The 20,643-nt window shown below is 51.1% G+C and overlaps 1 protein-coding gene and 2 long non-coding RNA genes across 6 annotated transcripts in view, besides 5 other annotated features; 1 reads left to right on the top strand and 2 right to left on the bottom strand.

Moving 5' to 3' along the window:
- The window catches only part of LOC105369366 (uncharacterized), an 11,198-nt gene extending 10,128 nt beyond the window's left edge, over positions 1-1,070 (bottom strand). For both annotated transcript variants that reach the window (XR_950255.3, XR_950256.3), the window contains exon 1: positions 963-1,070. This is a non-coding gene — a long non-coding RNA (uncharacterized LOC105369366). The remainder of the gene's footprint in view (positions 1-962) is intronic.
- LOC338694 (uncharacterized) overlaps positions 1-20,643 on the top strand; it is a 24,335-nt gene extending 3,692 nt beyond the window's left edge. Inside the window, exon 3 of the long non-coding RNA NR_104161.1 lies at positions 20,131-20,643. This is a non-coding gene — a long non-coding RNA (uncharacterized LOC338694). The remainder of the gene's footprint in view (positions 1-20,130) is intronic.
- Positions 996-1,290: an enhancer, noted in NCBI's record as "tiled region #1080; HepG2 Activating DNase unmatched - State 13:Ctcf, and K562 Activating DNase unmatched - State 8:EnhW". NCBI's record gives its function as "activates a minimal TATA promoter and a strong SV40 promoter by Sharpr-MPRA in HepG2 and K562 cells {active_cell/tissue: HepG2 | K562}" and the evidence as "EXISTENCE:reporter gene assay evidence [ECO:0000049][PMID:27701403]".
- Positions 5,431-12,298, bottom strand: SMIM38 (small integral membrane protein 38). 3 transcript variants are annotated; one of them, NM_001394169.1, is made up of 3 exons: positions 12,184-12,298; positions 8,520-10,697; positions 5,431-8,425 (listed from the first exon to the last, which is right to left on the bottom strand). In NM_001394169.1, the coding sequence occupies exon 2, from the start codon at positions 10,022-10,024 to the stop codon at positions 9,869-9,871; it is 156 nt and encodes a 51-aa protein (NP_001381098.1). In that variant the 5' UTR covers positions 10,025-10,697; positions 12,184-12,298; the 3' UTR covers positions 5,431-8,425; positions 8,520-9,868. The 3 variants fall into 3 exon arrangements, 2 of the variants coding, with proteins under 2 accessions (NP_001381098.1, NP_001356130.1); NM_001369201.2 differs by lacking the exon at positions 12,184-12,298 and adding an exon at positions 11,757-11,936; NR_161183.1 differs by lacking the exons at positions 8,520-10,697; positions 12,184-12,298 and adding an exon at positions 11,757-11,936.
- Positions 10,211-10,570: a silencer, noted in NCBI's record as "silent region_3692". NCBI's record gives its function as "represses an Ori minimal core promoter by ATAC-STARR-seq in GM12878 lymphoblastoid cells {active_cell/tissue: GM12878}" and the evidence as "EXISTENCE:reporter gene assay evidence [ECO:0000049][PMID:35858748]".
- Positions 11,455-12,382: an enhancer, noted in NCBI's record as "H3K4me1 hESC enhancer chr11:68922957-68923884 (GRCh37/hg19 assembly coordinates)". NCBI's record gives its function as "activates a minimal SCP1, AML or CMV promoter by ChIP-STARR-seq in primed H9 embryonic stem cells {active_cell/tissue: H9 hESC(primed)}" and the evidence as "EXISTENCE:reporter gene assay evidence [ECO:0000049][PMID:30033119]".
- Positions 13,816-14,110: a silencer, noted in NCBI's record as "tiled region #4947; HepG2 Repressive non-DNase unmatched - State 10:DNaseD, and K562 Repressive DNase matched - State 8:EnhW". NCBI's record gives its function as "represses a minimal TATA promoter and a strong SV40 promoter by Sharpr-MPRA in HepG2 and K562 cells {active_cell/tissue: HepG2 | K562}" and the evidence as "EXISTENCE:reporter gene assay evidence [ECO:0000049][PMID:27701403]".
- Positions 18,661-19,160: an enhancer, noted in NCBI's record as "H3K4me1 hESC enhancer chr11:68916179-68916678 (GRCh37/hg19 assembly coordinates)". NCBI's record gives its function as "activates a minimal SCP1, AML or CMV promoter by ChIP-STARR-seq in primed H9 embryonic stem cells {active_cell/tissue: H9 hESC(primed)}" and the evidence as "EXISTENCE:reporter gene assay evidence [ECO:0000049][PMID:30033119]".

Genomic DNA, 20,643 nt, shown 5'->3' with positions numbered 1-20,643 from the left:
ACCCCATCAATCAGTCACCTACATCACTCCCAGGAGCCATTCTCAGGAGCAGGTCCAGGAGCAGCACTCCCTTACTTAAACACCCTTGATAGCCCCCTCCTGCCTGTACACCAAAATCCAAACTCCTAAACAACCCTCAAAACCCTCACAATTTGGACCCAACCTGCCTTGCCATCGTACGTCTCTTCATCCCCTCCTCTATGCACTAGCATCTGAACCAGAGGGTCTCAAATTTTGCAGGGTATGGGAATCAGGCAGGGGAATTATTAGTCATATTCCTGGGCCCTGCTCTTGGAGTCCAGCTGGTCTTCGGGCCTGGGAATCTGCACGTGTCACCAGCTCCCCAGGTGGTCTGGGGAGACCTACAGAGGATCATATCCTGAGCTTGCCGGGAGCTCTGTAGCCTCCAGGCCTTTGCTCACACCGTTCCTTCTGCCTGGAATGCTGTTCCCTTCCTACCAGCCTAGCAGAGTCCCCCCAGTCCTACCTCTAGGGACACCTGCTCCAGAAAGCCTCCCACAGACCCCAAGAGAGAGCAGCGCTCCTTCCCTTGTGTGTGTTCCAGGGCACTCTGCCCTCTCTTACAGCCTAAGACTGTCTGCCCAATGTGGGTGCTATTTACATGCCATCGGTCTGTTTGTCTGTTTGTTTGTTTGTCGAGACAGGGTCTCACTCTGTCACCCAAGGTGGAGTGCAGTGGTGCAATCTCAGCTCACTACAGCCTTGACCTCCCAGGCTCAAGCAATCCTCCCACCTCAGCTTCCCCAGTAGCTGGGACCACAGGCATGTGCCACCACGCTGGTTAATTTTTTTGTATTCTTAGTAGAGACAGGGTTTCACCATGTTGCCCAGGGTGGCCCCAAACTCCTGGCCTCAAGTGATCCTCCCACCTCAGCCTCCCAAAGTGCTGGGATTGCAGGTGTCAGCCCCCGCTCCTGGTCTACGTGCCATCTTTTACTCACTCATCTGGGAGCCGTTGGAGGCAGGGGACACTCCACCCAATCCCCGAGGCCGGGGCTTGTAAGTGGGGGCAGGTGCGCTCTGAGGCTCCAGACCTTGTCAGGGTCCCTGCCGCCAGCACACTGCTGGGGATCCCCCTGCAGGCACATCGGGCTTAAAAAGGAAATACACTATTTCATGACTTCACTTCTTTTATTTTTAGAACAAGTGACTCATCTCCACCACAGGGGCTCTGTGAGCTGCTCCCGGACAGGCTTACAGAGGCCAAGCAGGGAGTGAGAGGCTCGAGAGGGCTGCAGCTGCCCCTGCCCACACTCTGAGGCCCATGAGTGGCTGAGATGCAAGGCAGTCGGTCGTTCCCACTGACCTGCCCCTCCAAAATAGCAAGTCTGGAGAAGCCGGGCACCTGCAGAAGAGGTGGCTGCGGCAGAGGGTGCATCCATCTCGTCCCGCCTAGGAGGGGAGAGGTGGATGAGATCAGAGAGTTGTTTCTCAGGGTCTCACCTCACCATCTTTTCCTCCACATGCAGACCGGCCATGGCCATGGCCACAGCCACGGGCTGCCCAGGTGTGTTGCACCTGCCTGGCTGCATCCTTTCTCACATACCTGCCTCCACAGAGGAAAAGCTGGGAGCAGTCTGGGGACCCAGAAGAGCCACCCCTTTCCCGGGGCTGTGGCCCCGTTGGTGGGGGAATGGGGAGGAGGAATTCCTAGTGATGAGATCCGTGCCCAGGACCGAGGGCCCACAGCTCACCTTTGCCTGGCCTCAGTCCACCTCACCCCTTGGTGTGATAGCTCACTCCTGTAATCCCAGCACTTTGGGAGGCCAAGGCAGGTGTATTGTTTAGCCCAGAAGTTCAAGACCAGCCTGGACAACATTGCAAGACCCTATCTCTACCAAAAAAAACAATTGGCCAGGCACAGTGGTGCACATCTATAGTCTCAGCTACTTGGGAGGCTGAGACAGGAGGATCATTTGAGCCTGGGAGGCAGAGGTTGCAGTAAGCCATGATTGTACCACTGCACTCAGCCTGGGCAACAGAGCAAGACCCTGTCTCAAAACGTAAGGGAACAACAGCTCCCTAAGCTTACTACTACTACCCTTAACTACTCATTTCTTAGAGCCTTGCTCACTATACTTTCCAATCTGTGTAACCCACTTGTTTCTTCATTTTTAAAAAATGCATGCTCATTACAGGAAAACTAGAAAATCCACAAAAAATTCATATGGGGCAATAAGGATAGGGTATGCGCAACATGCTATTAATTATGGGAGAAAATGAGGTTGGTGGGAGAAGACATTTGCATTTGCCTGGAAGCACACGGGATATCTCTGGATGAGACACAAGAAACAGGCAGCTCGGGCTGCATTGATGGAGGGAGATGAGATGACTTGGGGTAGGCAGAATCCTTGCTCATGGTATATCCTTCTGCAGTTTTCAAGGAAGAGGAGGAGAAAGAGAAGGAGAAACAGAGAACGAAGATGCAGAAATTAGGAAACAGTCCCCAGGACCACCCTCACTTCTGACAGCAATTGGAAGTTCAGGGGTCCTCAAGTTCATCATCCTCCATTTCAACAACCCACTGAAAGTTGTAATGGTTACAGTTATGGTTTATTACAGTGAAAGGATTAAAATCAGCCAAGGGAAGGCATGCATGGGGCAGAGTGCAAGGAAGTTCCAATCTCCTTCTCCCAGTGGAGTTATGGACCGCATGAATTCCTCCCAGCAATGGTGCGTGATGAGATGCGTCGAGTATTGCCAAGCAGATGTCCCCGGAGCCTTGGTGTCCAGAGTTTTTACTGGGGCTTGATCACGATCACGTGGGCATGATGCACTGATGCCCAAGTGACTGACCTTTAGTTTTCTGCCCCTCCAGAGGTCAAAAGGAGACCACGTGACCCAAATGTCCCCTCATGACAGGCAAACAAAGATGCTCTTCTCAAGCAGGACATCCCGAGGGCCTGGAGATCCCCTCCCAGGAACCAAGGACAAAGACTAGACTTCTCTTTGGGTCAGATTCTTTACTACACTTTACTACATCCTGTCCTATAAACAGGATGACCAGCCATCCCAATGTGGCCACGACCCTCCCCATTTTAGTGTTGAAAGTCCCATGGCCCAGGGAACCCCTCCACCCCAAGTACTCACCCTATATGGAGGCACCCACCATCGCCACCCGCAAAAAATGTGATGGCTTTTTTCTGTGTCTTCTTGGCTCCACGGTAGTGACAGGTCCAGGAGCACAGGACTTGGCAGCCGTGGGGAAGGAGAGTCAGCTTCTGTGCTCTGACAGTCCAAGTGGAGTCCCCAGCCCACAGTGGTCCCCGGCCACAGCCCCTCCAACGAGGCTGTTCCTCTAGCTTATCTAGGCCTCCTAGTCTCAGCAACATGGCAAAGCCACCAGCTTCCCCTGCAGGTCACCTGGGCCCCCAGGCCAAACACCAGCTTTGTGTGGGCTTCTCCACCAGCCTCGACACTGTCAGGGTCTCGTGTCCATAATAAATCTTGTCTACAGCACCCATGGCGATTGCACATGAAAACAGACTAAAGGAAATCACTGTGAGCCCTAACTTGATCACCCACAGTGGCCAACCATGTTTCTGCTCTTTATGTTGCTCTTATAAATGGGGTCTTTCATGCTTCTCATCTAGTGGATTGCTGTGTGTATGGTTTCTCTGTATTGATCTAGACCCACTCACTTGACTGAATTCTGGTATTAGCATTTGCAATTGCTTCTGGTTGACTCTCTTCCATTTTCCAAGAAAATCATCCATCTCTCTGTAAATAATGATTTTCCTTCCCAGTGTTTGCACCTCTGATTTCTTCCTCTTTTCTAATTGTTTTTCTAATACCCAACCATCCTTGCATTTCTGGAATCCATTCCGCTCAGTTGTTGCAATGATTTACTCCCCTAATGTGCTGCTTAATTCAGGGACTTAATATTTTTACATCAATGTTCCCAAACAACACTGGTGTGTGTTTTCTCTTTCCATGCCATCTATGATGGATCTTGGCATCAATGATATGCTTGTTACATAAAAAGAAGTTAAAAATATTCCTTCTTTTATGCTTTAGAACAGTTTAAATAGTGTTTAATTACCTGTTCGTTTTTGGTGTGGTTGGATCCTCCTATAAAACATTCTAGGCCTGATGCTTTTTTTTTTTTTTTTTAAGGAAAGTCGACTTTGACAACTTTCTATTTCTTCTATGGTAATCAATTTGTTTAGACTTTACATCTCTTTTGGAGTCTTTTTTAAAATAAATTATATTTTCTATGTTTTCAAAGTCTCAAAATCTTTTATGTATCCCAGTGCCAGTTTCCTGTGGTTATTTGCCATTTTATGTCTCTGCGGTTGTTTTCCCCATAGACTTTTATTTCATTTATGTTTTCTTCTTTTTTCTTGATAGGATTGACTAACAGCATCCTTTTTTATGCCCCTGAAAAATCTGGCACTTGGGTACATTTGTTAATTCTATTGCTTCTTAATGCATATATTTCCTCTCTTATCTTTATTTCTTCCTTCTGTTTTTCTTAGTTTTTTCTATTATGTTCAATATATTGAGCCATATGCCTAATCCATATGTTTTCATTCTTTCTATTGGTTAATATGAATATTTAAGGCTATAACTTTCCCTTCAAGAATTGCTTTAGCTGCATCTCATAGGTTCTGGTTTGCAGTCCAAACATTATCACTCAACCCATTTATGCCTAGTGTTCCATTATTGGAATGCTGAGCATGTGGGAGTTATTTATATATCCTACTGCTCAAGGTCATCACCAAGGTCTGATTGCAAAAATTTAAAAAACGGCAACCTCAGGCATAAATGGACTAAGAACCTCCTCCAAGAAGCTCCCTCCTGCGTTCCTGTAACACACCATGCATTCACCCGCCACCCTTTTACTGCATTATGAAGGTCCAGCACAGCACTGTCCATAACAAAAATAATATAAGCTACCTATGTGATTTTAAATTTCCTACTAGCCATATTAAGACCTATTAAAAGGAATAGGTGAATCAACCTAAATGCCCATCAATGGTAGACTGGATAAGGAAAAAGTGGTACATATACACCATGGGATACTATTCAGCCATAAAAAAGAATAAGATCATGTCCTTTGCAGGAACATGGGTGGAGCTGGAGGCCATTGTCCATAGCAAACTAACACAGGAACAGACAACCAAATACCACATGTTCTCACTTGTGAGAACACATGGTCACATAAAGGGGAACAACAAACACTGGGGCCTACTTGAGGGTGGAAGGTGGGAGGAGGGAGAGGATCAGATAAAATAATTCTTGGGTACTAAGTTTAGTACTCAGGTGACAAAGAATCTGTACACCAAACCCCCATGAGTTTACCTGTATAACAAACATGCACATGTACCACTGAATCTAAAATAAAAGTTAAAAGTTAAATAAAATATCATGGCCAATAAGTAATGAAAATAAAAGAAACAGGCGAAATCAAATTTAATATTTTATTTAACCCAATCTGTCCAAAATAGTATTATTTCAATGCGTAATCAATATAAAACCATTACTAATGAGATTTTACATTATTTTTCTGTGCCAAGTCTTCAATAGCCAGTACGCATTTTACTTACATCATATCGCAATTTGTGGTGGCATTTTTACTGTTCAATAACCACACATGCTTAGTGCAGGTCTAATATCTGTTTCCAGGTCTCTCTGCCCACTACCCTTACCTCCCTGACTGCAAGCTACCTGAGGGCAGGTGCTTTGCCTTATTCAACATTGTATCTGTGGTGCCTTGAATACTGCAAGCACTCAATGAATGCTTGCTGACTGCTTGCAGACAGGGTGGCTCAAACAGCAGACATCTATGTTCTCACAGTTTTGAAGGGTGGAGTCGGCTGGTTCTTCCTGAGTCCTCTCATCTTGGCTTGTACGTGGCCATTTTCTCCCTGTGTCCTCACCTGGCTCTGTGTGTGTGTGTGTGTCTGGGTCCTAATCTCCTCCTCTGATTAGGACACCCATCCTTTGGATTAGGGCTCACCCTAATGACCTTATTTTAACTTTATTCCCTCTGTAAAGACCATATCTTCAAACACAGTCTCTTTCTGAAGTATTAGGCATTAAAGGTTCAACATATGAATTGGGGGGAAGACATTCCAGCCCTAACACTATCCTTTTATGCCTTTTATACATCTGCTGTCCATCATCATTATTCATTTATCCATCAATTCTTCACTGTCTCCGTTCCATGGGCTACGGTTTACATCTGTGGCTACCAGCTGTGAGCAGAGGCATGTTCCCATGTGTCTCTAAGAAGGAGCATGTCTGTCTCAGCCTTGGACTTCCTTATTAAAACATTTTCTTAGGAGGCCCCAAGGAGCCATGGGGAGCCATGGAAATCTCCAACCTCTGACTCCAGATTGGAGCAGCCAAGGACAGCTTGACTCAGCTGCTATTCCTGAAGGGCAGACAACAGCAAAACCAGCACATAAGGGTACCACAAAGGTGCCCAAATATCCAAAATAGGGTCCAAGACAAAGACCATCATTACAAAGAATGGCCAAGGGGCCCGTGGCAGAGACCACCCAGTTGCCTGCCTGATCGCCATTTTGCCTCTGTTTCTTTATAACAAACTTGGCATTCAGGATGGCTAGGAGACCAGCTAACAAACGCCACTATCTCTCAGCCTCCTGTGCATCCAGGGATGCCACGTGACATCATTCTGGCTTATGAGATGGAAAACTAAGGGTATCTGGGGACATTGCTTTCTGTCTCTGTCACCCTTTCCTTTCTCTTCCTGCCTGGAACTCGTGTAAGATGCCTGCAGTAGCAGCAGGTTTCTTGTAGCCGTGAAGATCAAATCTACATGCTGAGGGTAGCAGAGCAGAAATATGTCAGGGTCTGAGACCCTGATAACTTCACAAAGCTGTCACGCCACAGCCTGGGAATGCCAAATGCCAGACTTCTTGCTACGTGAAGAAAGAAAAACAAAATACTTTTAAAGCCTCTCTTTTTTAAGCCACTGTTTGTCTACGTGTCTGTTACCTGCAGCTGAATGCATCTGCTGCCTGAGATACGGCCAGGGCACACCCTCTCATTCATTCAGATGCCATGGCCTGATTGCCTGTTCTGAGCCAGGCACTGCGTCACAAGGCTGGAGATGCTGACACGTGGATGCAGAATACATGAATTCATCAGAATTGTGTCCATTTTCCAGGAACAGAAACCAATGAAACAGACTTAAGAAAAAGAAAAGAAATTATGGACCAGTGTAACTGAGATAGGGAGTCGGAGGAGGTTGGCAGAATCTTCCCTTCCACCATTTTTCCAGGTGGCTGTGTTCTCATGGGGCCGCCTTGAGCGTCTGTCCTCCCTGCCAGGCAGTCCCAGTAGAGGAGTCTGTTCTGACCCCTGGCTCCAGCAGAAGTCCCAGGATTCTGAGGCCGGGCATGGTAGCTCATGCCTGTAACCCCAGCATTTCGGGAGGCCAAGGCAGGCAGATCACTTGAGGTCAGGAGTTCAAGACCAGCCTGGCCAATATAGTGAAACACCATCTCTACTAAAAAATACAAAAATCAGCAGGGCGTGGTGGCACACGCCTATAATCCCAGCTACTCGGGAGGCTGAGGCAGGAGAATTGCTTGAGCCCCAGAGGCGGAGGTTGCAGTGAGCCAAGATTGCGCCACTGCCCTCCAGCCTGGGTGACAGAGTGAGATTCCATCTCAAAAAAAAAAAAAAAAAAGATGATGAAGTCCCAGGATTCTGGCTCACTGGACCAAGAGGTGACCTCAGGTATGTGTGTAGGTGCCATCCTACACACCCATGTGGACACGCAGGCCACACACAGGTTTACACAAAACTCTACAACTGGCAAGACATCGGCACATCATATGAATGTCTAACTCCTTCTATCCAGCGTGACCTGGTTTGCCCAGGACTGAGGGGTTTTCCAGGACATCGAACTTTCCATTTTAAAAACAAGACAGCCCTGGGCAACCCGGAACAGCTGGCCCTCCTAGCTCTGTCGGTACATGCTCATGACAACCATGTGATTTTTCTTCCTTAAAGAGATCAATGAAATGGTACCAGATCATGTTTTTAAAAAGCGAACAATATTTTCCTTAGAGATCAATGAGAATATCCCTCCCCACAATCCTACGATCAGGCGAGAATATTCAGGCAGAGCCCTGGGCTGCCGGTGGAGGTGGCAAATTGTCCGTGACACGGGGGAGTGACCATAGAGTTCTGCTGGCCTCTGGCTGATACAACAGAGGCCAAACTGAAATGGAGCACGGTAGCCCCTGCCCCTGTGCAGACTTCAGAGCGTGAATGAGAAGGGACCCTCTGCAATAGGTCATCTTCACGTCACCCCCTGGACACCTCAAACTCTTGGTCGGTCCCACCCCAGATGGTCTCGGCTCCTGCTCACCAGCACCCCCGTGTCTGTAGCTCTCTTGAATGGAGGATCTGAGCACAGCAAGTCCTGTAGAAACCAAAAAAAAAAAAAAAATTTCCTTGGCATAGGTGAGTGTATCGGGTGCCGCAGAAACAGTGATAACAGCGTTTCTGGTCCTCACCTGGGTTCATTCAGCCAGGACACAGCAAGGCAGAGGCTCCCAGCCAGTGCCCCACTCCATGCCCACCCTGGGGGTCCACTCGTCCCAGTCAGCAACACCAGCCCTGGAACCACCATCTAAGCTCCTGCTCTTGCTGGACGCCCCCAAGTCCTTTCAGAATTCACAGGAATCACCCCCTCTGCGAGCTTCGTGTTCAGAGGACTTGGCCCACGTTCCCTGAGCGAGCATCCCTAGCATACCCATCACCTCTCAGGGAGCAAGACGTTGCCACATCACCAGGCCCAGCCTCCCAGAGACGATATCTGGTTCGATGCTCCTCCCTGGAGCTGCCGCCCACAGTCCCTTCCATCTCACAGTTCCGCATGCAGTCAGCAGCCCTCGCTGCAATCCACGATCTGCTGGAACGATCCCAGGAAATACAGTGTGGAACTTGGACATGGGTGTTTGCCGAATTTCCCCCAAGAGGCTCGAATGTGGAGCCTTTGAGCTTCCCCAAGCTGTGGGTTAAGTCACTGGCATCACGGCTAACGTGCTACGGAGGTGGAGCAGGAGCACTGGATGCTTGGCCTCAAATCAACTTCCCTGCCCTGTCAGCCTTCCTGGGCACTTCCCAGCCACACACTTGCAGGAACAGATGAACAGAGGGCATTGATGGGTGCCTTGGCTTGTCCCCTAAATTGTCCCCTACATGATATCCTGCTGAGGGAGGGAGGCAGGGATCATTGTGCCCTAACTGTTCAGACCGTTAGAGAGTGTGCAGAGGGTCAACCAGAGCCAAGTGCGTCTGGCTTGTCAACTCAGCCTCACAAGTGCGTCCTGAGACCCTTCCCAGGGGTCTGCTCTGGAGAAATCAGGACAGCCATCGGCACTTATCTCGTCCCTTGGGAGGCAGGAGGAGACTAGTTATGAGGGTGGTGAGCTGAGACAGGACGTGGCCTTTGGTAACAGGGCCAGCTTGTGATGAGGTCACATTTGTCTCTGTGGCACCTCCACCTGAGTCCTCTGGCTTACCCAGCTCTTCCTGCAGGCATATTTATAAGGAATTGGAGGCAGAGAAGGTCTTAAAGCAAGACCCACCCCCAGGACCACTCCCTGCAACCGGGGACCCCAGAACCTGGTGATGGACCTGCAAGGCCGGCCCCTCCATCTCCCCACATGGCCAGCTGCCTCTACGGGACAGCCCTGGTCAGTCTGGGAAGGCACGATCCATCTCAGGCCTCTCTGAGCTCCTGCCCCAGGGGTGGGACATGGGGATCATGCGCCTGCCCTGCTCCCCTCCCTCCCACCACCACTGGAAGGGCCGGCTGAGTCTCGGGACAGGGCGCGTGGAGGCCGCAGCCTGCAGAGGCTTAGTCCTGCTTGGGTTTCTGGGGCCGCCGCTGGGCCAGTCTGTAGTCGATGTAGGTCCCGAGGCAGGACCACAGGATGAGGCGTGCTAGCAGGATCACCACCAGCAGGGCCAGGAGCGGGTCAGGGCCAAAGCTGCCACCTGGCCAGGAGGTCATGCCTGAAGTCAGCCCCAAAGGGCAGCAGCAGCCTCTGCCCTGGAACCGAGATGCAGTGGGGCCCTGCCACCCTAGCCCGGCACTGCCAAGTGGCTGCTGTGCAGACCCAGGACAGGAAGCTCCGTCCAGCCTGGGGCCTCTGCAGCCGGCGCCCCCAAGGGACCGCCCTGTTCTCTCTGGTGCCACCAAGCAGGCCAGATCTGCCCGCCAGACTCCAGCCCGGGGCCTCCCTGGCATGTGAGAGGACAGACTGGGGACGACGAGCAGCCTCCTTGGTCAAGAGGCCCGTGTACCATTCATCCAGAATTAACCACTCTCCGTGCTGACAATGACAGCATTGTCCAGGGGCCTGGGGGGCGGGAGGCCGCCGGGAGCCCGCCCCCCTCGCTGTCCCCGCGCCCCCTGCTCGCCAGCGCTGACGTAATCTGCAAACATCCCCGGCGGCAGCTGCTGGGCGAAGCGGCCACCTCCTCCCGACGCTTTCAGCAGCCCACGCGGCTCTTCCGGCCCCGCCAGACAATTGGGCCCTTTCTCTCCCCAATTAGCTATCACTTCTGGAGGCCGCGCCGTCCAGCGCCGGCCCACGGTCTCCGCAGCAGCAGGCCCGGGATGGGGCGGGGGCCGGGAAGCTTGGCAGGGAGGCTGGGGCCACCACGGGGAAGAAGGACGGAGCCTGAGGATGAAAAGCCAAGGAGAAAAGGGGAGAAGATGAGGACAGGCGGCCACAGCCCACAGGCGGCCCCAAACACAGCTCAGCAGCACAAGGACCGCGCTCTGGGCCTCTGATGGCAAGGGGGTCAGCGCGGGAAACCGGCTTCATCCCCCAGGAAGGGGACCGGTGGACCCCCAGCAGCACCTCCCTCCAGCTCGCCCCTCCAACCTCCATCAAGAAGCCTTAGGTGGGACCTGTAGCCCTAAGCTGGGGCGCACAGGCCTGCAGGGTCCCCTGACATCCTCACAGTCACCCTGGACCGGAGGCCAGTCCTGCCTTCTACTAGCTGAGTGACCTCGGGCAAGTTGTGCAACCTCTCAGAGCCGCAGATCCTGCCTTAGAAAGTGAAGCAAATACCTCCTGCTTTGAAGGATTAGGGGAGAGAGCACTTCTCAGGGGCCACGCCCAGCGCCTGGGCACAGAGATCCTGGCCCCTGCCTCTCAGTGGATGCCTTCAGAAAGGCCTCCACATCTTTTCTGAAATAACAGTGTCTGCCCAGCCTTCTCTGACTGCCACACGCGCGCACACACACACACACACACGCATACACATGTATACATGTGTGTGCACACAGACTCACACGTGTGCACACCCAATAAGGACACATTGACCTCTACAGGCTCTGCCCCCCAAGTCCAGCTCTGGCCTCTCACAGCCGAGTTTCTGTGAGTGAGAGATAAACCGCCAGAACTGCCCCCTCTAACTCCAAGCCTACATCCTGTAAAGCAAAGGGGCCCCAGTTGGAGCTAGGGGGCTGAGCGTGAGGAACAGAGGTCTCTGGCGGCTGGGTCCTGGGAGTCCGGCCAGTTCTCACCAGCAAATGTCCAGCCTGAGCTACAGAGAACAGCAATGGGGGCCTTCCTGGCCACAGGGATCTGGGGCCCATCGCTGGTCGCCGGAAGCCAGCTCTTCAGTTCCTTCCCAGTCTACAAAATGAGTGTCCTCCCTGCCAAGCCTTTCCAGAAGGTTCAAACGGGACCACACGTTCAAACGGGAAGTGGAGCATGATGCCAACTCACCTTGGGCCGGGCACCGCCTAAGCTGCCTTCCCGCAGCCACCCTGGAGCCCCTGCCTGGACTGGCAGAGGCTGTCTGGGAAGCATGCCTGGCCCTTCCTCCATCTGTGGTGTGCCCTGCACCCACTGGGCTGCCTGGCACTGCTGTCAAAGGCCACTCACTTAGGGAACGTTGAGCTCTGGGCTTGTTTTCCACGCGCAGCGGTTTGAAGATCACTTCGAACGTGGGTGGGGAGTTAGCTCTCTGGACCCCGTCATAGAGTAAGTCATCGATAGAGCATTTGCTTGATGGGGACTTCCAGAAGGCCAGGGAAAGTCCTGCCGACTTCCTGGGGAAGCCCATCCGCACGTGGGGTGAGGGTCCCCAGATGGGAGCAGCTGTGTATGCAGGGAGGGGGCAGAGGCTGCTGCCAATGGGCATGTCCCTTACCTGAAAGGGCCACCTCTCCAGGTGACATGTCCTGGGGGAGCCGGGGCCGTCTGCTCCGGCCAGAGGCGCTCAGCTCAGGCCACACCAGGCAGGGCACCTCCCAACCTGGACAGGTGGGGACCAAGGTGGCCTTGGACAAAACTCTCTGTGTTTGCCAAGCACCCAATCGGACACAGAGAGTCAACCACACCCCAGTCACATGGTGTCCACACGCAGGGGTCAAGGAGGCCCGGCCCCTCCCCCTCAGACGTCCCTGGGCCTCTGGGAGTCAGCAAGGACGAGGACGGCATGCCCTTCGAGACAGGAAGGGAGTGACCTCCTCCCAGCGGCATCCAGGCTCGGCTTCTCCGGAGAGGAGAGGGGGCTACTTGCTGGATAAAGCGGCCGGGGCCACAGAGAAAAAGCAAGTGACCATGAGCACGTTGCAGACACAGTGCACCGACAGCATTGCAGCACGGGGACTGTGAGACCTCCCATTCTCGGGGGAAACTCCCCAAGTCCCCCCACCATCAGCAGTGATGTGACTGGGGCGGCGACCTGTGCTGGGAGCCTCCACCAGCTCCTGCGCCTCAGGCCCTGCTGCCCTGCACCTTCGCTTCCAGTAGGACCCTTCTCCAGGGCATTCTGGGCCACAGGAGCCACCCCAGTGCACAGAGACCCGAAGGCCCAGGAAGTTCCCTCCCCCAGGCAGCCCTTAACCTAAGGCTGACCTGGGCAGGACGTAGCCCAGCTTCCCTGCTTTGGACCAGGACAAACTAGAGGCCACTCTGAACCCCCAGAGCTCCCCCTGAAAATCCCAGGGACGTGCGGCTGTGCCTGGAGTCGCCCCCTTCCCAGACTGCTCCCCTTCATCTTGCCCTCCCTGCTCCTCCCTCCTGTGTCTCCCCATCACACCACCCCCCGAGTTACCCGCCTGTGAATATAATCCAGGATAAGAGTGACGAGCGCCTCATCAGCGCAGACCCAGACCCCGCCAATGGGAACGCATGGAGCTGGGCGGTGGTGGCTCCCAGCCCCGGGCCTCTGAGGATGGATCCGGGGATGCTCCCAGCCCCGGGCCTCTGAGGATGGATCCGGGGATGCTCCCAGCCCCGGGCCTCTGAGGATGGATCTGGGGATGCAAGTTGCCATCGGGACCTCAAAGAGCCAAGGCATCTTCCTGCACCCAAATGTTCAACGCTGACAGAGCAGTGAGTGACGCACCCTCACTCACTGTTTCCTGATGAAATGCTTGGCAGAGGAAACCTCTCCACAGGTGAGCTCCGTGGGGAAGGCCTGGAGTGGAAGTAACAAGGAGGTGCAAGTTCTTGCCCCCAAAGCCTGGTCCCCGCCCAGGACCAGCCCTCAGTACAGGTGACAGCCTGGGACAGAGCCCCAAGAACCTTGTGAACAGCTTCCTGTGAGCCCCAGGCAAGCTGGTCTCCACTGAAGCATCACTGGGCCTCAGTTTCCTCCCCTCAATAAAAGGGGAAAATAATCCTAGCACTTTGGGAGGCCGACGTGAGAAGGTTCAGGAGTTCGAGGCCAACCTGGGCAACATGACAAAACCCCATCTCTACAAAAAAAAAAAAAATACAAAAATTAGCTGGATGTGGTGGTGCACACTCGTTGTCCCACCTAGCTAGGAGGCTGAGGCAGGAGGATCACTTGAACCTGGGAGGCAGAGGTTGCAGTGAGCCATGATCAAGCTACTGTACTCCAGCCTGGGCAACACCTTATCTCAAAAAAAAAAAAAAAAAAAAAAAACGGTGAGGGGATGATAATCCCTTCCCAGCTTCTGCAAGCAAGGCTGGGGATAAGAGTGCTTTGCAGGGGAAATCCCCGCCCAAATGTCATCGAGATGAGCTGGACTTGGCTGACTCAAATGCAGGACCCAGGAATAATACTGAACGCCCTCCCCCAGGGACCACCAGGCACATCCCCCAGGGCCTCAGTGTGTTGGTTGGTTTTGTTATTTTCATAGCACCAACATCCTCTGAACTCTTCCATGTGTTTCTAGAACTCGAGCTCTCGCCGAATCCCCCAGGACTTAGCACAGTTCCAGGCACCCAGAAGACTCTCAGCAAGGACGGCCACGTGCATTGGAGCTGGGAGGCCAAATTAAAAGAAGCACGTGTTTTCCTTAGAACAGATTCCGCCAAAATTGTAAAACCACCACCTACAGCCTTGTTGACAGTGAGACATTCTCAGACATGTCAGGGTCCTGTTGAAAATCATTTTTTTCTTTGTTTCTTTTTGCAACAGCAAAATATGCTTGCTTTAACCAAAAAAAAAAAAAAAAGCAACCATGGCAGAGATGGGTGAGTTGGGAGAGCATGAACATCATCAACTCTTACTCCTGCCAAGACGGAGCACAGGACATGAGGACCCCGTCCAGGGCCCACGGGGAGCCTGAGTTCCCACCCCACGAAGGCCTGTGGCCCATCACCTCTTCCCCTGAGAATGCTGCATCTCAAAACCCCAGCCGGCGCAGGCTGCCGAAATCAACAGAACATGCATTTCAAACCGGGTTTCCACTGAAATGCTCCCTACACACAGACGGGCGAAAATTAATTTTCTTTCTTCCTGCGCCACAAAAGCAGATTAAAATCACGAACAGTGGGACGAGTGGGGGGAAGTGGAGGGCTTCCTCATTGAGGGAGACCCCTGCCCGGGAGGTTTCTCTCCCTAACAAGGGATGGCCTCAGCCGTTTGAAACGCCCTGCTGCAGGCATAAAGCCCGACCCAGGAGAAGGCACTTGAGAAAAAGGACGCCGCTGCCCTCCCAACGGTTGAAAGCTGGTATGTAACTTTGCTCGGGGTGATCAAACAGCTAGTCAAGGACGCTGTCAGGAACAGAATGAAATTCCAAATAAATTAGCCATGTCCAGAAGCCAATACAACACCGGATTAAGGCTCACAAAGAAAACACAATTTATTCAGCCTACCTTGTCAGAATTCTTAATAACCCCCCTTCCTTTCCCTCACCTCAGGCTGAGAGTCCCTGGGTGTGAAGAGACAAAGTGAACCCCACTCGGGACGCTGGGCGTCTGGTGTAGACGCTGGGCATCCAGTAGATGCGCTGGATGTCTGGTGGAGCATAAGCGTTTACAAAATCGTGTTTTTAGGAACATTTCAGCGGGGGCCATACACAATCGCGTAGGGAAGGCAAGCTGTCCCCAAGTCCCACTCACATCTGAATGAGCGGGTTCATACATTAGAATACAGGAGGAGGCGGGCAGAGACAGGAATATTAACCATTTCAGCTTAACTCTTTGGGGTTTTAGTAGCATCCCTGCCGTCGCCTCAAATGAAGTGTGTTCTGGCGGAGGTGCCTGAAAGCTCTGTCTTCATTTGCACATGATTTTATCTTTTAAGGCAACAAGTAGGTGAATGGTAACTATCACCCTTTGCAAATCCTAACTGTCCTCCGTGACAACTCATTAATATATTCAGCAGCCCTAAAGACAATATCTTTTTTTTTTTTTTTATCAATGAACCCAGACGACTTTCGCAGCCAACAAACGTTCTTTGAAAGAGTTAATAGGCAGAGGTTTGTGTGCGGACTCTGGAGCAGGCATCTTTGAAGGGTCCCGGGCCTCCTCCTTGTCTTAGGCTGTGATGATGTATCTGGTTTGCCCAAAGGCCTCAGTGAGAGTATGGGGCCCTTTCTTTGTCCCCAGAGAGGGGGGTGGAGGGGCCGGGGACGGGGAGTTTGCTCTGCAGCACCGAGCCATTTGCAAGAGATAAAGCCGACAGGGAATTTGAAGGGGAGTTGGGAGGAAGTGATTGGGCCATTACTCTGAGACGGAATGTCAAGATGCTTGAGAAATACACAAAATAAAGATTTTCCCAGAAATTCTTTTAAAAGAGATGACCTAATGGTATTAAATTAAAAAAAAAAAAGATAAAAGAATTGTGCTAAGCTTGGGGAAATCTCTGCCATTTCCCAAGCCTAGATTCTCTCTTGATTTCTAAATAAAACAAGAAGGCAAACAGTGGGGACAAAGACAGGGAGACATGTTTGAGGCCTGCCATGTGCACACAAAATGATTTTTGCGAGAGTGGGCAGGAGTGTGCCTTGGAACAGGACCCCAGCCCAAGGACAATGGGCATGAGAACCCCATGATGCTCCAGGGCTCTGAAAGTGGAACTGAGCTACTGGGAGGTGCCCTGTAGTCACCAAGTATGTGCCACAAGGAAAATCTCCTGTCACCTTAGAAAGGCTGTGGTCTCCTTTAAGTTCCATATAGATTCTGGATATTAGACCTTGGTCGGATACATAGTTTGCAAAAATTTTCTACCATTCTCTAGGGTGTCTGTTTACTCTGTTGATACTTTCTTTTGCTGTGCAGAAGCTCTTCAGTTTAAGTAGATCCCATTTGTCAATTTCTGCTTTTGTTGCAATTGCTTTTGGCATCTTCATCATGATATCTTTGCCCATGCCTATGTCCTGAAAGGCTTGCCTAGGTTGTCTTCCAGGGTTTTTATAGTTTGGGGCTTTCCATTTAAGTATTTAATCCCTCTTGAGTTAATTTTTGTATATGGTGTAAGGAAGGGGTCCAGTTTTAATGTTCTGCATATGGCTAGCCAGTTATCCCAGCACCATTTATTGAATAAAGAATCCTTCCCCATTGCTTTTTTTGTCAGTTTTGTCGAAGATCAGATAATTGTAGGTGTGTGGTCTTATTTCTGGGTTCTCTATTCTGTTCCATTGCTCCATGTGTCTGTTTTTGTACCAGTACCATACTGTTTTGGTCACTGTAGCCTGGTAGTATAGTTCAAAGCCGAGTAGAGTGATGCCTCCGGCTTTTTTCTTTTTGCTTAGGAACAACCCTATTAAAAAGTGGCCAAAGGACATGAACAGACAGTTTTCAAAAGAAGACATACATGAAGCCAACAATCATATGAATAAAAGCTGAACGTCACTGATCATTAGACAAATGCAAGTCAAAACCACAATGAGATACCATCTCACACCAATCAGAATGGCTATTATTAAAAAGTCAAAAAAAAAAAAAAAAACCAGCAGATACTAGTGAGGCTCTGGAGAGAAAGGAACACTTATAAACTGTTGGTGTGAGTGTAAATTAGCTCAACCATCGTGAAAGACAGTGTGGCAATTCCTCAAAGACCAAAGAGAGAAATACCATTTGACCCAGCAATCCCATTACAAGGTATATACTCAAAGGAATATAAATCATTCTATTATAAAGATACCTGCACATGTACATTCATTGCAACACTATTCACAATAGCAAAGACACGGAATCAACCTAAATGCCCATCAATGGAGAAAGAAGTTGTGGCACATATATATCATGGAATACTACACAGCCATAAAAAGGAATGACAACACATCCCTTGCAGGGACATGGATGGAGCAATAGGCCATTATCCGTAGCAAACTAATGCAGGAAGAGAAAACCCAGTACTGCATGTTCTCACTTATAAGTGGGAGCTAAATGATGAGAACACATGAACACAAAGAGGGGAACAGACACTAGGGCCGTTTAGAAGTTGGAGGATGGGAGGGAAGGAGGGAGAGGATCAGGAAAAATAACTAATGGGTACTAGGCTTAATACCTGGGTGATGAAATAATCTGTACAACAAACCCCCATGACACAAGTTTACCTATGTAACAGACCTGCTCATGTACCCCTGAATTTAAAATAAAAGTTAAAAAAAAAAAAAACAGAGAGAGAGAAAGAAATGCTGTGGTCTCACAGCCACCCTGAGCGACATGTGTTCAGAGCCTCCCAGAGACTCCATTGTCAGTGGGTGACAGTGTTCACTTACCAGGAAGAGGAGGCTGCTCAGGCTAACCCAGCCATGACCCCCGCTGGAGGCTAGCTCTGGCACATCCTCTGGCTGGAGGCTAGCCCAGGCGTGACCCCTGGCTTCAGACTAGCTGGGGCTTGTCCTGTGGCTAGCTGCTAGCCTAGGCATTGAGAGGTGAAGCCAGCTGGACTTCCTGGGTCGAGTGGGGACTTGGAGAACTTTTCTGTCTAGCTAAAGGTTTGTAAATGCACCAATCAGCACTCTGTAAAAATGCACCAATCAGCGCTCTGTGTCTAGCTAAAGGTTTGTAAATGCACCAATGAGCACTCTGTAAAAACGCACCAATCAGTGCTCTGTGTCTAGCTTAAGGTTTGTAATTGCACCAATCAGCACTCTGTAAAAACGGACCAATCAGTGCTTTGTAAAATGGACCAATCAGCAGGACGTGGGGGTGCCAAATAAGGGACTAAAAGCTGGCCACCAAAGCCAGCAGCGGCAACCCACTCGGGTCCCCTTCCATGCTGTGGAAGCTTTGTTCTTTCGCTCTTCATGATAAACCTTGCTGCTGCTCACTCTTTGGGTCCACACTGCCTTTATGAGCTGTAACACTCACCACGAGGGTCTGTGGCTTCATTCCTGAAGTCAGCGAGACCATGAACCCACTGGGAGGAACAACCAACTCCCACGTGCCACCTTCAAGAACTGTAACACTCACTGCGAAGATCTGTGGCTTCACTCCTGAAGTCAGCAAGACCACAAACCCACCAGAAGAAAGAAACTCCGGACACATCTGAACATCTGAAGGAACAAGCTCCAGACACACTATCTTTAAGAACTGTAACACTCACCGCGAGCGTCTGCGGCTTCATTCTTGAAGTCAGGGAGACCAAGAATCCACCGGAAGAAACCAATTCCAAACACAGCATGACCCCCGTTGGAGGCTAGCTTGGGCCCATCCCGTGGCTGGAGGCTAGCCCAGGTACATCCCCCGGCTGGGGGCTAGGTCAGGCACATCCCCTGGAACCTCACCAGGAAGCACAGTGGCCACCTCTCCTTCTAAGGCACTGGGTCTCTCTGCCTGACTTCTTCCACCTTCTCTTTCTCTCTGCTCATTGGCTCCCTCTGCTCTGCCTGAGCCTAAAGGCACTGTCAGCCTCACCCATAAATAAGTCCAGCACCCACACTTTGCTGCTGGCCTCCCAGCCCCAGGCTCCCGAGAGAGAATCAGAAGAGCTCAGCAGCCCCTGCATTGGTTCCACAGGCAAAGTCCAAGCTTGACCAACCCGCTGAGGGCTGAGGTACACACATGACTGTGGGCGCTCCAAGAAGGCAGACGAGAAGCAGAGCACATGTGGCCGGCCCCCACCTCTAACCTATTTGCACACACACGTGCAACACATTTCCAAGTCCCGCTGAACACTGAACGTCACGTTACATTTTGTTACATTTCCTTAGCAGTGAGCACTGTTGGGCGATTAACAAAGACGAAAACACCAACAACCTGTATAGTCACAGAGGGTGTGACAACTCACACGGTGCCTCCGTATCCAACGTCCATTTCTGGCACTTGTAAAGCATGCGAGGCTCAGAGAGGTGGAACGTATCTGTTGCCTCTGGGATCCCTGACTTGAAAGTTCACACCCAGGCTCCTGTCACTGAGCAGAGCCCCAGGCAAAGATGCTGAGCCAGGGGAGGTGGCTCTATCACTCCTCCCCCATGCCCCGGCTTCCCTGCCCTGCAGGACGACTGCCTGTCCCCACCCTACTGAACTCAGGAGTGGCCAGTGAGATAAGGGAGGAAATACTCCTGTCGCTTCCTGGTGTGGTGGCTCACACCTGTAATCCCAGCACTTTGGGAGGCTGAGGCAGGCAGATCATGAGGTCAGGAGTTCGAGACCAGCCTGGCCAATAGGGTGAAACCCTGTCTCAACTAATAATACAAAAACCATTAGTCAGGCATGGTGACATGCTCCTGTAGTCCCAGCTACTTGGGAGGCTGAGGCAGAAGAATTGCTTGAACCCGGGAGGAGAAGGTAGCAGTGAGCCAAGATCACGCCACTGCACTCCAGCCTGGGCGACAGAGCGAGACTCTGTCTCAAAATAAATAAATAAATAAATAAATAAATAAATAAATAAGCCAGGGCATGGTTTGCAACGTTCTCTTTTCCCTCTTCCTTTTCCTTCCAGGAAGGAGGCTGCCCTGCCTGGAGTGAAGAGTGCATGGAGCAGTCTCAGCCGACCCAGGTGGGATGCGTAACATGGCCGAGAAATCCACCCATGCTGCTGAGAGCTACTGCGCCATGGGGTCATGTGTCACCTAACTGACTTAGCCCAGCCTGACTGATCCCCCGTGTGTGACCAGACATCAGCACATTCAGAGGACCTCATACTGAGAATTGGTGGACCTTTCAGAATGGACATGACCACTCAAAGTAGGGACATTACTCGCTATTTGATGGCCCATGTGGGATCAAAGGCCACTGGGGTTCCCTCAAGGCACAGCACACTTAGAATCCCATAAGTCCTCAGTTCTAAGGCATGTATTTTTCATACTTTGATAATTCTGAAATCAAGTATAGCTTCTAGTAGATATTAAAACTCATTTTCAGATCCTGCAGAAAGGAGGAGACAGAAATAAAGTTGCCATTCCCTGCTTTTGTATGAACCCAGCTGAGCATAAACCGTAATCTATTCAACCTC

The sequence above is a fragment of the Homo sapiens genome, chromosome 11, assembly GCF_000001405.40.
Source record: "Homo sapiens chromosome 11, GRCh38.p14 Primary Assembly".
NCBI classification, from domain to species: domain Eukaryota; kingdom Metazoa; phylum Chordata; class Mammalia; order Primates; family Hominidae; genus Homo; species Homo sapiens.
This window is presented reverse-complemented; position numbering and strand designations above follow the sequence as displayed.

Bases quoted from the DNA above. Each gene is read 5' to 3' on its own strand.
- SMIM38 (NM_001394169.1), bottom strand. From the start codon at position 10,024: ATGACCTCCTGGCCAGGTGGCAGCTTTGGCCCTGACCCGCTCCTGGCC.